This window comes from Homo sapiens, chromosome 4 (genome assembly GCF_000001405.40).
Source record: "Homo sapiens chromosome 4, GRCh38.p14 Primary Assembly".
Classification (NCBI taxonomy): domain Eukaryota; kingdom Metazoa; phylum Chordata; class Mammalia; order Primates; family Hominidae; genus Homo; species Homo sapiens.
The window spans coordinates 38,130,714-38,144,412 of record NC_000004.12 but is presented as its reverse complement, the minus strand read 5'-3'; the positions used below and the strand labels follow the sequence as shown (position 1 = coordinate 38,144,412).

Sequence of the window (13,699 nt, the reverse complement as noted above, 5' to 3'; positions counted from 1 at the left end):
AGTTCTGGGGCTTTCTTAGAGAAGGCACTGAGAATTAAAGGGAGGACTGCAAGAATATCCTCATGATCCATGCAGACAAGCTTTTCACTGGGCTCAACGAACCATAACTTACATCATCCACTTCCTACCTCATTAAATAAAGTGGGAAGTTTGGCTAGCTCTATATTTCTTCAAAGATCTCTGTCTTCCCATTTCCAGTGCCTCTTTCCACCATTGTCAACTCATTCCAAAAAAATACTAATAGCAGTTGAGCAATTTTTTTTTGCTCAAATTTTCTCAGTACCCTGGAATGCAATTTGAACAGTCAGGATTTACTTTTGTAGAATTTCACAAAAGTCTCTTTTAGGCTGTCATGCCATGAAATCACACCTAATTTTTTCCTGAACTTTAACGAATGTCTTCCCGATGCCTAGGTTCCCTTTGCAGATGATCACAGCAGGAAGTTGATAGGGCTGTGTCCACTGGCTGTCAGATCTGTAGGGGACATCATCATAAACTGAGATAACAAGGTCACCCCCTGCCAGGTGCCCACTACAATGTCCATTTCACCAACTCATTCCTCCTCGCAGTTTAATGCTAAGTTAAGAATAGCAGATTCCCTTGTGTCCATTAAAACTGTAAGTGGATCAAGCCAAGAACTTATTTATACTTATTGGACTACACAGTAATGGAACATTTATCTCTAAAAATATTGGTGTTTTCTTGCCATCTGAAAGAGACATGGTGTTAAGTGGGTGCTAAGTGGGTTAGTTTGTTTGGGCTACTCAGACTGGATAATTTATAAACAACAGTTCTAGAAGCTGGGAAGTCCAAAATCAAGGCACCAGCAGATGTGGCGTCTGGTGAGGGACTGTTCCTCATAGACGGACGGCGCCTTCTTGCTGTGTCTTCACATCTCCAGCTTCTAAGTGCACTGATCCCATTCATGAGCGTAGAGCCCTCATGACTTAATCATTTCCCAAATGCTTTGCCTCTTAATTCTATCACATTGGATATTATATTTGAACACATGAATGGAGGGGGGATGGGGCAACATCAACATTCAGACCACAGCAGTGGGTGTGTGTTTTTTTTAAGGTCTTGGCACAAGACTCAAAGCTAGGATAGAATCATTTGTCATTTGGAAGAGACTCTTCCACTTTCTAATAAGTCACCCAGAACACTCTCACCCAACTCCTCTGTTAGCTGTTCCTTCCCAGTCTCACTTGAACACCAGCTCCTCAGCTGAGTCTTCTCTGAATATTCTAGGTAGGCACCCCCACCTCATGATTGATTTTTCGTTTACTTATTCCAATTACCTATCTCCCTCACTAGAATAAAAGCGCAACGATGGCAAATACTTACTTTGTCATCTCAGGACCTAGAACAAGGCTTGGTACATAGTTGAGGGCTGGAGAGTGAAAGCAGGGGAGACGTCATGCTCGCCGAGCTGGATATGGAGAGGCAGGCAGGTGAAACCACACTGTGCAAAGACAGTGGGGCTATAGTGAAGAGAGACAGATCCAGAGTGAAAAAGCTAATATCCTTTCTAATAACCAACCCATTTAGATGATTTGAACATATGAAATTTAGGAGTAAATTTGATATTCACTTATTTCAAAGAAAGAAAATAAATAGATCATGCCCTCCTTGGTAAAGAGTACCAAGCACAGATAGGCATTCGGTATCATTAAACAGACCCACATGCAAACTTGCCTCTATCTCCCTAACATGGTACTTCACCATCTGCACAGTTTCCACACGATGGCACCTCAGGAGGTCACCCTGCAGGGTGCTGAGAGCCAAAGCCCGAGTTTAACAGTAATCAGTCACCTCTTCCAACAGTTGGAAGAGATTAGAAACATAGTTACAGGGTTTAGAAAGATTTCTGGAAGACCAGAAAGGAGACACCCCAAATTGGTCAACATCCATCCAAATATGGAATAAGAGAAAAACAAGGGCAGGAAGATGTAGTCAGAAGAGTGAGGAAAGCAAGCAAATGACTGGGAAAAAGGATGTACAAAGCTGTCCCCCCACCCCTTGGCCATGCCAGGTTGTCCAGGCTGTCTTCAGTAGGTCTAAGGAAAGGGCAGTGATAAAGTGCCGTGATTCACAAGGAGTGATTCACAGGCTCCATTCTTAACACACACTGTTCAGTTCCTCTCTGCTCTGCTCAGCCAAGCACTTTGCAGGCTCAGAACCACAAGTCTTCGGTGGCACTGCGGGGAAGGGCTGGGGGCGAGATGGTTGTCTACAGCAGGACCATGCAGGTGAACAGGTAGCGGTGTGGCCAAAGGCCTCAGACTAGAACTTGCTACCTCTGTCCGTACCACGATTATTCAGAGCAAAGGCTCCAAATGGGGTGGGCCCAGGAAAAGATGATGGAGAAAGTGCTAGAGAGAGTGCTTTTCAGAAAAGGGTTTGGAAGTGTTTCTATGGGTTAGGTCATGTTTTGGCCAAAAATCATGTGAGGGTGTTACTCAAACAAACCTGGAAACTGCTTTTATAATTTGTTCAAAACTTTCCAAATGAAGAGTTTTGGTGTATTAAAGTCTTTGGTTAAAAAGTATAAAAACCTTAATACATTTGTGTCATCGGCCATGAGAGAAGATGGAAATTCATTACTCAGATTTCCACAAAAACCTTTGCATAACTGATGAAGAAAAATGAAGAATGAGCAATTATGACTTAATGTGACTAGTTGTGTTCTTCTTCCATTTAGAGTTACTAAATTTTGGAAGTCAGTGCATTAAAAGCAACCATAAAACTAAGCTGAACTTGTAACCGACATCTGAATTACTAATCACAGTTTTAAAGCATTTACAGTAATGAAGTGCTCATTATTCTTAAAAATACTGAATAGAAATTTTATCATTAATATTTTTAAACATTGTATTTTAACCTCATTCAAAACTTCTATAATACAATTTAGTCATGCACAAAATTGATTAATAAACATACATCTCATGGTAGAAATCTAAACACTTTACTACTAAGGTTTACAACCAAGGCAGTTGTATGGTTATTTTTACAGATATTAAGAGAGATATCTATGAAGCCTAAATACTAAGAACATTCTTTTAAAATATTTTGTTATCAATTTCAAATTGTCCAAATAACCGTTGTGGCTGCTCCATACCATATAACTCTTGAATTTCTCTAATCATTCTAATCATTTCTAGAGATGGCAGCAAAATAGTTTACATGATGGAATTTCTCTTTTATAAAACCAAAGGGAATTCTGTGTTGATCTGTTTCTTCTAAAAACATTACAATGCAAGTTTTCAAAAGTCCAAAGGTAAAAAAGAAATAGTTGTCAAGAACAAACATTATATCTAATCATGTCAAATCCTGTTGCAATAGAATTTCTCTGCCTCTGGGTCCATACACAGGGGTCACTCACTGGAGAGCCTCCCAGTTTTAACTCCCTATCAATTAAAGCTGCTAGAGGCATTTCAGGAGAGAAATCGATTTGGGCTCTTTAGAATACAGGTTAGCTTTGTGAAAATGAAGCAAACATCTCTTTGCTTTGTAAATTGATGTCATCAGAAATGGTTCCCAAAACTCACTGAAGTAAAGCTGGGTGGTGCCCACTATTAGGCAGCCAGAAGGCCAGGGATCTACTCTGATCCTGTAGCCAACCATCAGGTGATTCTGAAACTCTCTACACCTCACTAAGCATTTTCATGTACAAAATGAGGTGGGAGGTGACTTTCTAGTATGAAGAGAAGTAAGTTCCCTCCAGTCTTCCCAGTCTAGAATTATTTTGAGCCATGCCAAACCCTTAAAGCAGAGTTTAGATTTAAGACAATGTGGCTTGTAAATTATTTTCCCACAGTTGCTGGATTTTAATTAGCAGAATTAAATAGTAATCAGAGTCAGCTCTTCCTACAGCTGGCAGAGCAGGGCAGATGAAAGCTGGGAGGCAGTCCCAGAAGCCAGAAGTGGTCCCTGAAGTTTGTCATCTCCAGTGGTGCACCATCAGTGACTCTCGATGCCAATGTCAATCTGAGTCCGAACTCTACGGATCACTAATTGTACACTTAGACGAAGGGCCTGTATAAAAGGACTCATACATGCATGCTGTCATTCAAAGTAGGCAAGTTCCAAAACTAAACAGGGCGGCTTATACTATGTTAACGTGGTTAACCCAGAACTGTGTTTCCCAGAGTCCCCTTCCCTGGTGGTCTAATTCAGAATTGGCTCTAAGACCTGCTGGCATGAGATCTGGAGGGCCAAAGTGAAACAAGTGCCATTTTTATCTGAGATCACCATTGTTCAATGTGGTGTAGCAACGTGACAGACACAAAGGTGCCTGGCCAGTTCCAGCTTGTCCTCATTCCCTTCTGCTTCACCTCCAGCTCTTCTTCCTGAGTGCTGACTAGGGTGGCCCCAGGCACACCACTAAACACCTGGCTGCAGACCCACAGAGGTGGTCACAGAGCCCCCGCCACGTCACCTGCCCAGGCCCACTTCTGCAGTGGCCTTGTGCTTTGCTTCTGAAAGACGACCTGGTGACTTAGCCTGATTCAAACACCTTCTGAATCTTCACTTCTCCAGCGCTTCACACAGTTGAGTTTGGTCTAATTCTGTAACAAAATCCAGGATCCCATGGCACTTGGAGCAACTCTTCTCCTGTTTACCAAACCAGACACACAAACCTCCAAATGGACATTGTTGTTCTATCTACAGGCCACCCCTGAGAGGGAGCCGAACCGAGTGTGCAAGCTGAAGAGAGTCCCATCCTGTTCCAGGTAGTAGTACACTTCTTGAGGCCTCATAATGTCTTAAGAGACATAAATGGCATCTAAAGATTGACACCACCAAGTGCACAAATGAGTGTTGGGGGAAATATAACCCAAAACATGGCTTAAAAATTTGGCTCTGAGAATCCTCACACAGTTGCCTCTCCGCTCCTTGCCTAGTCAGTCACAGGCTGAGACTGTCCAACCTACATCCACAGGCTCATGTCAACAGTCCTTTCTGCCCAACCCAATCTCGTAACAGGACTCACTGCCACATACAATGATGGAGCTGGTCTCATCAGTGCTAAACTCACACCCTGTGTAGAGGTGTTACAACTTACGTAATAAACACTCAGATAACAACACTGGATGCAGACACCAATATCTCAAATAATCTCACTGATGGTTGGGTCATGACCACACGTAGGCCACAGGTGTTCATAAGGCATTCCTTTACTCCTGGGCTGAAAAGCAAAAATCCAAAGTTAAAAAAAAAAAAAAAACCACCATAAAAATGTGAGCATGAATTATTTCTTGTTTTATTGCTTTCTTGTTTCTTTCTTGATGCAGAGTCAATGTTTTTGAGTAACAGTAATAAGATGCCCAAAATCCAACAGTAAACATTCAAATAGTAAGATCTGATGCAGAACAAAGTCCTCAAATGTTAACTCCTATAAGTTACATCTAGCGGAACCACGAGGGATAAAGGCTGAACTCATCATCTTGGTTTATGATGGAAACCGCTATCCTCTGACCCAGGGAACAGGAGGAAGTCTCGAATGCCAGCCACCTGTTTAGGCACTGGTGGCAGCACTGTGGTCTCCTCGTGAAATGGCCGGGGAGACTCACAGTGAGTCTAAGTATGGCAATCTCTCCTTTTACCCCAGGATTAAGAGATGCCCCCCGCAACTGAGAGAATCAAAAGAAACTCCTATGGAATAGAAGACGTGGTTACAGTGATAAAGATCAGAAATGATTGTGTTGTCAAGGAAGTGACCTGTGACTGCACAGAACCCCATCTTTGTGAGAAAGCAACCCACTCTTAAGTGCACATCAGAGAGGCTTTACACAGTGACTGGCTGCAAGCAGGACAACCGTGAGCAGCATTTTGCTTGTTGAAGGCACAGGTCCTCGTCATCCTGAGAGAGGAGAGTCACTGTGTGCGACCTCTGAAAAACTGTCAGCTGTCATAAATCTGACTGCAGTTTCAGCCTGATCTTTTTTTTTTGAAAGTCCCAGACTCTTGGGGCACCCCTGAATATCTTGATGTGCCTACTCCTTCTGCAAGAAGTCAGATTTCCAAGGGATGGAGACTCAAAGGAACATGATTGCATTACATCACACAACAGGCAAAAATAAATACATGACTCTATAGTATGGGTATGAAACTACCACAAAGAAATATCTCAGACCCCACAACTGCAGCTCACATGCTAGCAATACCTGGTAGGGTCTAAAAGGTGTCAGCTGTCCCATAAAGCATTTACCTACTATGACTTTGATCAACTGTACTTATGGGATAAGCAAAAATGTATGAAAACACTCTATTTTTTTTTTAAAGACAAACTTCCTTAAATACCAAAGAGAGAGATCCATTTCACTTGACAGTGATCAGGATATCCAAATTAAATAAATCATTTTATTTAATTTGATGATCTTCAAATTCAATAAAGTGATCTTAAACATTCAAATAGTAAAATCTGATGTAGAACAAAGTCCTCAAATGTTAACTCCTTTAAGTTACATCTAGTGGAACCACGAGGGATAAAGGCTGAACTCATCATCTTGGTTTATGATGGAAACCGCTATCCTCTGAGCCAGGGATCAATGACCCAAGATCACTGATCTTCCCAATGATCATCTTAGGTTTCCATAACAAGAATGGGCGAGAGCCAACTGCACCTTGCCAGGGACGCTGAGGGTGTAGTCGCCACACAAACCCTCTCGGAAGAACGATGGACCCACGCCTTTGCCTGAGGCATGATCTCGAGCTCTTCCAGCTTTTGAAATTCCACCGTATTGTGAATGCTCTTTACAAACACAGTGACACTCAAAAAGGAACCAACAAGAAAACATAAGTTGCATTTATTCACGTCCACGCCATCTAAAGCTACTGTGTACAGTAATCAGGACTGGAGAAGGGACGATTTAGTATCTAAAAACAACAAAAAAAACACTGGGACATGCCCCCTGAATTGCAAGTTGGAGTTCGTAAGAATCTACTTGCTGGCAAGCCGGTTTCCTCCCTGAGAAGCACACTTCCCGCTTCCTTCTCTCCTTCCAGCGTCTTCTGTCCCTCTCAGTTAAGGCCTGGACAGTGTGGGATGGTGTTGCAATCTCTCCTGCAGAGCTGTCAGTCGCCCGTGGGCTCGGGCTGCGTGCACTCAGGCTCCCGGTCGCTGGGCTCTGCGCTCCGCCGCCGCAGCTCCTCCACCGTCTGCAGCAGGGCCGACCGCTCCAGTTCTAAGGTAAGCATGGCCTGCTTCAGCTTGCTCTCACTGCTCAGGAGCTTCTCAATGGTGGCCTCAAGGCTTTGGATCCTACCATTTGCCACCTGGAGAATAAAAGAAGAAATGAGAATACAATTGCCAGTGCTAACACAGGTGGGATCCAGTGCCCACACGCTGTCCAGCCTTGGGAGCACTCTGGAGCCGAGTTTCAGCAGGGATGAGTCTACAGTTTATCATCAGTTCTGGCCACACAGGAAGGCAACTCGCACCCCTTGCAGGTCGGTGGCCAGGCCCTTAAAAGCACCCTGAGAGCCCCCAGCATTTTCTTCTCCTGCTATGGCTGCTGTGGAAGCCGATGCTGAGATGGTGGATCACAACACAGAGGGAACCCAAACCCCCAGGCACCACCACCAGAGGGACAGCTTGGATAGGGCCAAAGAATGCTTCAGCAACACAAAGCTGAAGTGGGCGTCAGTGACACAAAGACTTCCGTTGTGCCAAGCCTCGGAGACTTGTAAGTTTGTTACTGCAGCAGAGCCTGGCCTGTTTTGATGAGCACATATACTTAAACGCACAAATCGATTTCGGGCTGACAAAAACTCAAAACAGTTTCCTCCTGAAGGCCCACGTGGTAACAATCCTCTAATCTGAAATTCTTTACAAACACAATGATACTCAAAAAGAAACCAACAAGAAAACCTAAGTTGCATTTATTCACGTCCACGCCATCTAAAGCTACTGTGTAAAGTTAGTGATGTCTAGAGGAACAAGACATCACTACGTCAAGAAACACAGGCATTTACCCCGGAACACATATGGAGTCCTTAGAAAGGCCAAGTGTTCTGCTAAGAGGTTTATGTGCCTGGTCTCACTGACTGTTCACTACGAGCCATGGAGACAAGCAATATCCTCTCTTCCACCCTACAGAGGAGGAATGAGGATCTCACTCAGTCTACATCCTCAGCACCTAGCACATAATTAATGCTAGTTAAATAGAACTTCCAGGTGTATCTTTCTAGCAACTGTCCCTCGTCTCTCTAATTTGCTCTGGCAGGCTTGCTTCCCAGGTGACAAGTGTGTTAGCTCTAGTGACATTAAAGGGTTCCCTAAGAAAACTGCAGAAACTCCAACATGTATGCTGATGTCCCTGAGGCCTTTCTGACCTGTTCCCCAGCTCACAGCTGCATCCTGGAGTGCTCTGTGACTTGGTCTATCTCACTAATCCAGTCCAGATTTGCCATGCTCCATTTTAGGTGGGAAAAATGGTATATATATACACATATATACACACACACACACACACACACACACACATATACACACACACGTATATATACACACACACATATATACACACACACACACATATATATACACACACACATATATATATATTTTTCATTTTTCAAACAAAGAAAATACTTTTTTGAATGTGACAACACTTGTGCCAGAAAATTCATGACTCGAAGTCTAGCTCTGGCTGGGCCACTAGAACACCCAAAATATGAAAAAGGGACCAAGAGCCTTAGTTTGTCAGCCTACTGGGCAAGGGGTGGTCCCACTTGGGGTATCTCTCTAAGCTGTACTCTCTGATCCTCAAAATCCACCCATCGTCAGGGCCTGGCTCAGGGCCTACCCTCATCACTTTGAAGCCCCTCTGCATTCCGAGGTGCAACCTGCAGCTTAGTTAGTAGTGAATTAATTTGCATGGTCATTTGCTATTCTGCATTAATGTCAGGTCTCCTCAATAACACCGATGCTTTTATAGAAGCAAGCATGTCTTCTCTTTCACACATGGTCCTGTCTCCCACAGCACCTGGCTCAGTGTGGGCGTCAATGACTTGTACGGATTATGACAAATCCATGTGCATTATTATTTGGTTCCATCTGGCACGTCTATGCAATCGTCTGATGTACTGCTGAACAAAAGAGGTGGTAGAATTTGCTCTCCAGCGTCTAGACAACGTTCACATGTATTTAACAGGGAATGAAATGGGATTTTGATATTTCTAACAATTTTATGGACAGAATAAAGGTAGGAAATGGGTTGATTTTGGTATTTTGGCCCCCCCAGAAAAGCTATATGAAAATTCAGTACTGTATTGAACACCCTTCCTTGTCAGTGTCTGAAAAGTGTACACGGAGGAGGCATGATTCTTACATATGAGAGGCATATTTTCGTAGGGGATCATGGAAAAACTATATCCAAACACCACAAATCGATACAATACAATCCTAGATCCAACTCTTTGAGAGCTGCAGTGTCTTACTCAACTTGGTGGCCCCCAGCACTCAGCACTGCAGGGACTCAGGAACTACTGGTGGGTTGGCATAGACCACAGTTCTGAATGATCCTTCCAGAAGTGTAGGACTACTTGGTCAAGAGAACGACCATTCCAGGGAGAACATCTGTAATCACCAATTACTGTCTGATGCCTTTATTGAGGAATGTAGGTAGCTAAGCAGTTTTTCACAGCTCCCTGTCTTCACAAAAACAATAGCACAGGAGCAGCATGAAATTACTTTCTATGCTCTGTCACCAAAAAACTACAAGGTCATTTACCCAATAAAACAAACCTTTTATTTGAGAACTGCCTATCTTAACAAGCTAAACACTTCAATGCAAATGTGAGCTTTATTAGAAGTTTCCACCATGTTATATTTCAGGGACCTATCATTGGCTTGGAAGCCATTTAAAATGACCACCTACACTGTGTACCCCTACAGGCCAGACAGGCTCTTCACCCTCTGGAGACTTCCCTTGAGTGATGGCTGAGACTTCCAGGGTAAATTGTATACAGGCATATTTTCAGTTAGGACATCTCAGGGGAAAAAAAGAAGTTAAATTTCAGAATGTGAGTGGTTATTAGGGCTGGGCAGGAATAGCATTCGGTCTTGGTTCCTCTCTTTCACATATCTGATAGGGTATGCTGGGATGGAATGCCCGCTGGGAGGAATGCATTTCAGATAGCTTGACTCACTAGGCTGGCCTTTCTCACCTTGCTGCCAAGCTTGTGTCTGCAAAGCTCATCTTTCTATGAAGAAAAATCAGAGGCTTAGATCAGAATGGAACTTATTCTCAGGACAGCCCAGGAACACCATAAAAATTTCGGCAAAAATATGTATTTTTATCCACAGCCACTCAAAAACAACTTTTAAAAACACCCTCAAAACAACTCCTTAACAGGGACAGCACTGCTACACACTTGTGACATTAAAAAAAGTAGAAAAAAGTAGAACATATGGTTGCTTCATGCCATCAGATTGACAAAAGAGCTGCACTCCGCAGTTAGGTGTTCTTTTGGGCAGTGTGCCTGGGTGATGTGGGGGTGGGGGTGATGCTGGACCTGGCCAGCTCTGGTCTCCGTGCTGCACCTCAGTGCTTGCTCTGCACACCCTCCTGCGTGCACAGTCTCAACTGGTCTTTCTTCTGTATGTCCTCACCTGAGTATATCCGTGTTGAAATGGAAGTTTCTAGAGGGGAGAACTGAGACCTTCATTAATCAAATCTTTGTATATGCACCAAGGACTCACAAAGAATTATCATCTCTTCTGGTTTGTTATATTTATTTCTGTGTTACTTTCCTCCTTTACCATCCCTCTGTGGACCTAGCTGGTTTTGCTCATAGAAGTTAAAAGCTCTTAGATTCTCTTTGAGTAATGACAACGGCTGGCATTCAGCTAACAGGCCACGGCATCCTGAATCCAAGTTCATCTCTGGGCCTGTCCCCTAAAAGAGTTAAGTGCAGAAACAGCCTCTCAGAAAGCTCTGGGACTGCCTGACCTTAGCAAAGGACAATCTGTCTGCTCCATAATAAAAAGGACCCATTCTCCCGGGATACCTTTGATCCCAACTATAAACAGATCAGGGTGGGAAAGGTCCTCTGGTCATGGGAAAGCCCAGCCTGCTGTTGCCTTTGGTGAGTTAATGAACTACCATATATTTGTGATTCAGGAAGCTGCTTTATAAATATGCTCTACCTGCAACTGTTCAAGGAGGTCAAGGTTCTGTTTGCGTAAGCTGCTGTTGGTTTTCTCTAATTTATCCATTCTTTGGTTGTCACTGAGAGGAGAGGAATCGATAAGTTCTTCTTGAAGGACGTGGTACTCAACTTCATAAGCTTGTAACTGTTTAGCGATGTCCATTTCAAATACCTGTTATAGAAAGAAAAGTCATCACGTACTAAAACTGAGAAAAACCCCACAAGTACAGGCAGGCGTCTGCAATCACGACAATGCGCACCTGTGAAGCGTCTCCTCTACGCTTAGCTCTACACTTGGTACTAGAAGTAATAAATAAGAAAAACTACGCACTGAGAAGGTAATAATTTTACTTGGGACAAAAGGATATAAGAAACATCTAGAAATAATTCCAAGGTAACATTAAGTACAGGTTTTTGATACTCACCTTCCAAAAGCCAAAAAAAAAAAAAAAACCTCTCATTTTTAAAGACATAAAAATTTATTTTTAGTTCTTATTTCACTTCTTTTCTCTGAAAATTCTGTTAGGTTAGATACATCAACTATGGGTTAAAAGGAGAAAAGAAACAAAAGAATCATAGCCTGTTTGCAGAGTCACCAAGTCAAAGTTTAATTATAGTTCAGTTGGGTTTTCAGAGTTACAAGAACAGCTAAGTAATGGGACTGTTTACTAAAAAACTCTCCTTTGCACACAAATATGCAGAAATGAGCCAAAACCCACATGTCACCCACACAGATGAGTGAATACGAAACGATGCCTGAGTTGTCTTCTTTCCCACAATAGTAATGGTGACGAAAACACCACACGTGTGAAAAACAACTCCTAAGTGCCTAAGTGACTCAAGCCGTCCGTGTCTGTACTTTCTCTTGGTAAGGAAGGCAGGGCGGAAAGCAGAATCAGAAGACAGCTGCTGCTGCTGCTGCCCAAGGCATTTCCTTTCTTTCCAGTTGTTTCTATGAGAGAACCCCAGGGGCTGGGGCCTCTCAGCACAGCAGTGAAGCCCTAACGTTTATCTGATGGATCTGAGAATGCAGTCAAGCTGGGACCATCTTAAAAGAAAAAAAAAAAAAACCCTGCTAGATCAGAACACACATTCAGAAAGTGAAGTCAGGCTTTAAAAGGGCAGAAACTGCCTCTCTATTGCATTGCCTTAAGCAACTCCAATATTGTTAAAAATCAGTGTAAAACTACTTCTTCTGATGGCTCCCTACTGGCATTCAAACTAGCCTATCTTCCCTGGAATCAATTTTCAAAAACCATGTTTCCTTTCTCACCATTCCCAACAATCTTATTTTCTCTTCCTTGAGATGAATTTTTCAGCTTGCTGTTTTTGATTCAGTGGATAATATTAATAAGGCACAAAAGTCATTTGATGCCTAAAAACTAAAATCCATTATATCTGTGGGGTGTGTGTGCATGTGTGCGAGGGGAGTAAGAGGGAGAGAGAGAATTGTTTACTGGATTGAACTGATTCTCTTTTGTCCTTCAGAGCGACCGTGAGGTCAGCAGGGATTATTATCTCCATTTGACAGCCGAGGTAACTGGCTCAGAGGCTTTGAGTCAGCCTTAAAATTGCGGCTCCACTGGCGACTCTATGAATGACTTGAGCTCGGTACTTAACCTCTCTCAGCCACAGTTCCTGGCCTCCCACCTGGGGCAGACAGCGCCTACCTCCCAGGATGGCTGTGAGAATTAAACGAGGCAACTCCTGGAAGTTCCCAGCACACGCCTGGCAGGTTGAGCAGGCGCTCTCTTAGCTAAGGGATCTGCTTCCACACACCTGCCACAAAACCCTCACATTTCAACCTCAGCAAAACCATCATCAATGGATGCCACGTCATGGAACTTCTGAATAGTCTGAACAGTAAAAACCACAAATGTTAAAACTGAGATTGTTTGGCACTCATGTATAATTATAAATATGGTGCTGAATAAATGTCATGTACACTATTACTTTTTTTCTTTCACAAAGATTTAAGTGATCTCCTAACCTGGAAAGCCTGGGAACAAAACCTCTGGCTTTTCCTACGGATTGATGTTCTGTGTTAAGTTAATGGCTCTCAGCAGTACCCAAAGCCATAAACTCTTCCAGGCCTCCATTAATCCCTAGGAACCACCCTGGGTCACAATCATCTCTGCTTAATTGCCTGATGATCTCCTGACTGCCAAGACTCCTAGGCCCTTCATTCTGCAGTTATGCCCCTGAATTTACCCCAAACCATGGCAATATGAGGCTGGTGGTCAAAGGAGAACCCTGGTCACTGAACGAGGGCTTCAGCCCTTGGGCTAATTACTTGGGGAAAGAAAAGAATTGGGAGGGGCGCCTGTCCTTGCACACTTAGACAGCACAAGTGATCCACTGCCAGGAGCAGTTCTCAGCCAGAGAAAGAGCAGGAAGGCCTAACATTAAAAACCCAATCCTTTGGTATGTTGTCTCAGATGAATAAAACAGACGAATATTAAAAACTAGGTGTTGATAGGAAAACAAGATATATACACTTTAAGGTGTTTTCATTTCTGGTCTGAGTCACTCCTGAGGCTGG

At 43.2% G+C, this 13,699-nt stretch overlaps 1 protein-coding gene across 31 annotated transcripts in view, besides 2 other annotated features; it reads right to left on the bottom strand.

The window, feature by feature from the left end:
- Positions 1–5,239: 5,239 nt before the first annotated feature.
- The window catches only part of TBC1D1 (TBC1 domain family member 1), a 248,090-nt gene continuing 239,630 nt past the window's right edge, over positions 5,240–13,699 (bottom strand). For all 31 annotated transcript variants that reach the window (XM_011513659.3, XM_011513660.4, XM_011513662.4 and 28 more), the window contains 2 exons: positions 11,156–11,329; positions 5,240–7,278 (listed from right to left, as the gene is read on the bottom strand). In XM_011513659.3, coding sequence (XP_011511961.1) covers positions 7,078–7,278; positions 11,156–11,329 — 375 coding nt within the window. In that variant the 3' untranslated portion in view covers positions 5,240–7,077. The remainder of the gene's footprint in view (positions 7,279–11,155; positions 11,330–13,699) is intronic.
- Positions 9,195–9,364: an enhancer, noted in NCBI's record as "experimental_79448 CRE fragment used in MPRA reporter constructs". NCBI's record gives its function as "activates a minimal promoter by MPRAs in K562 erythroleukemia cells, with activity observed for the introgressed 4:38136755 variant allele {active_cell/tissue: K562}" and the evidence as "EXISTENCE:reporter gene assay evidence [ECO:0000049][PMID:34662402]".
- Positions 11,336–11,475: a silencer, noted in NCBI's record as "silent region_15358". NCBI's record gives its function as "represses an Ori minimal core promoter by ATAC-STARR-seq in GM12878 lymphoblastoid cells {active_cell/tissue: GM12878}" and the evidence as "EXISTENCE:reporter gene assay evidence [ECO:0000049][PMID:35858748]".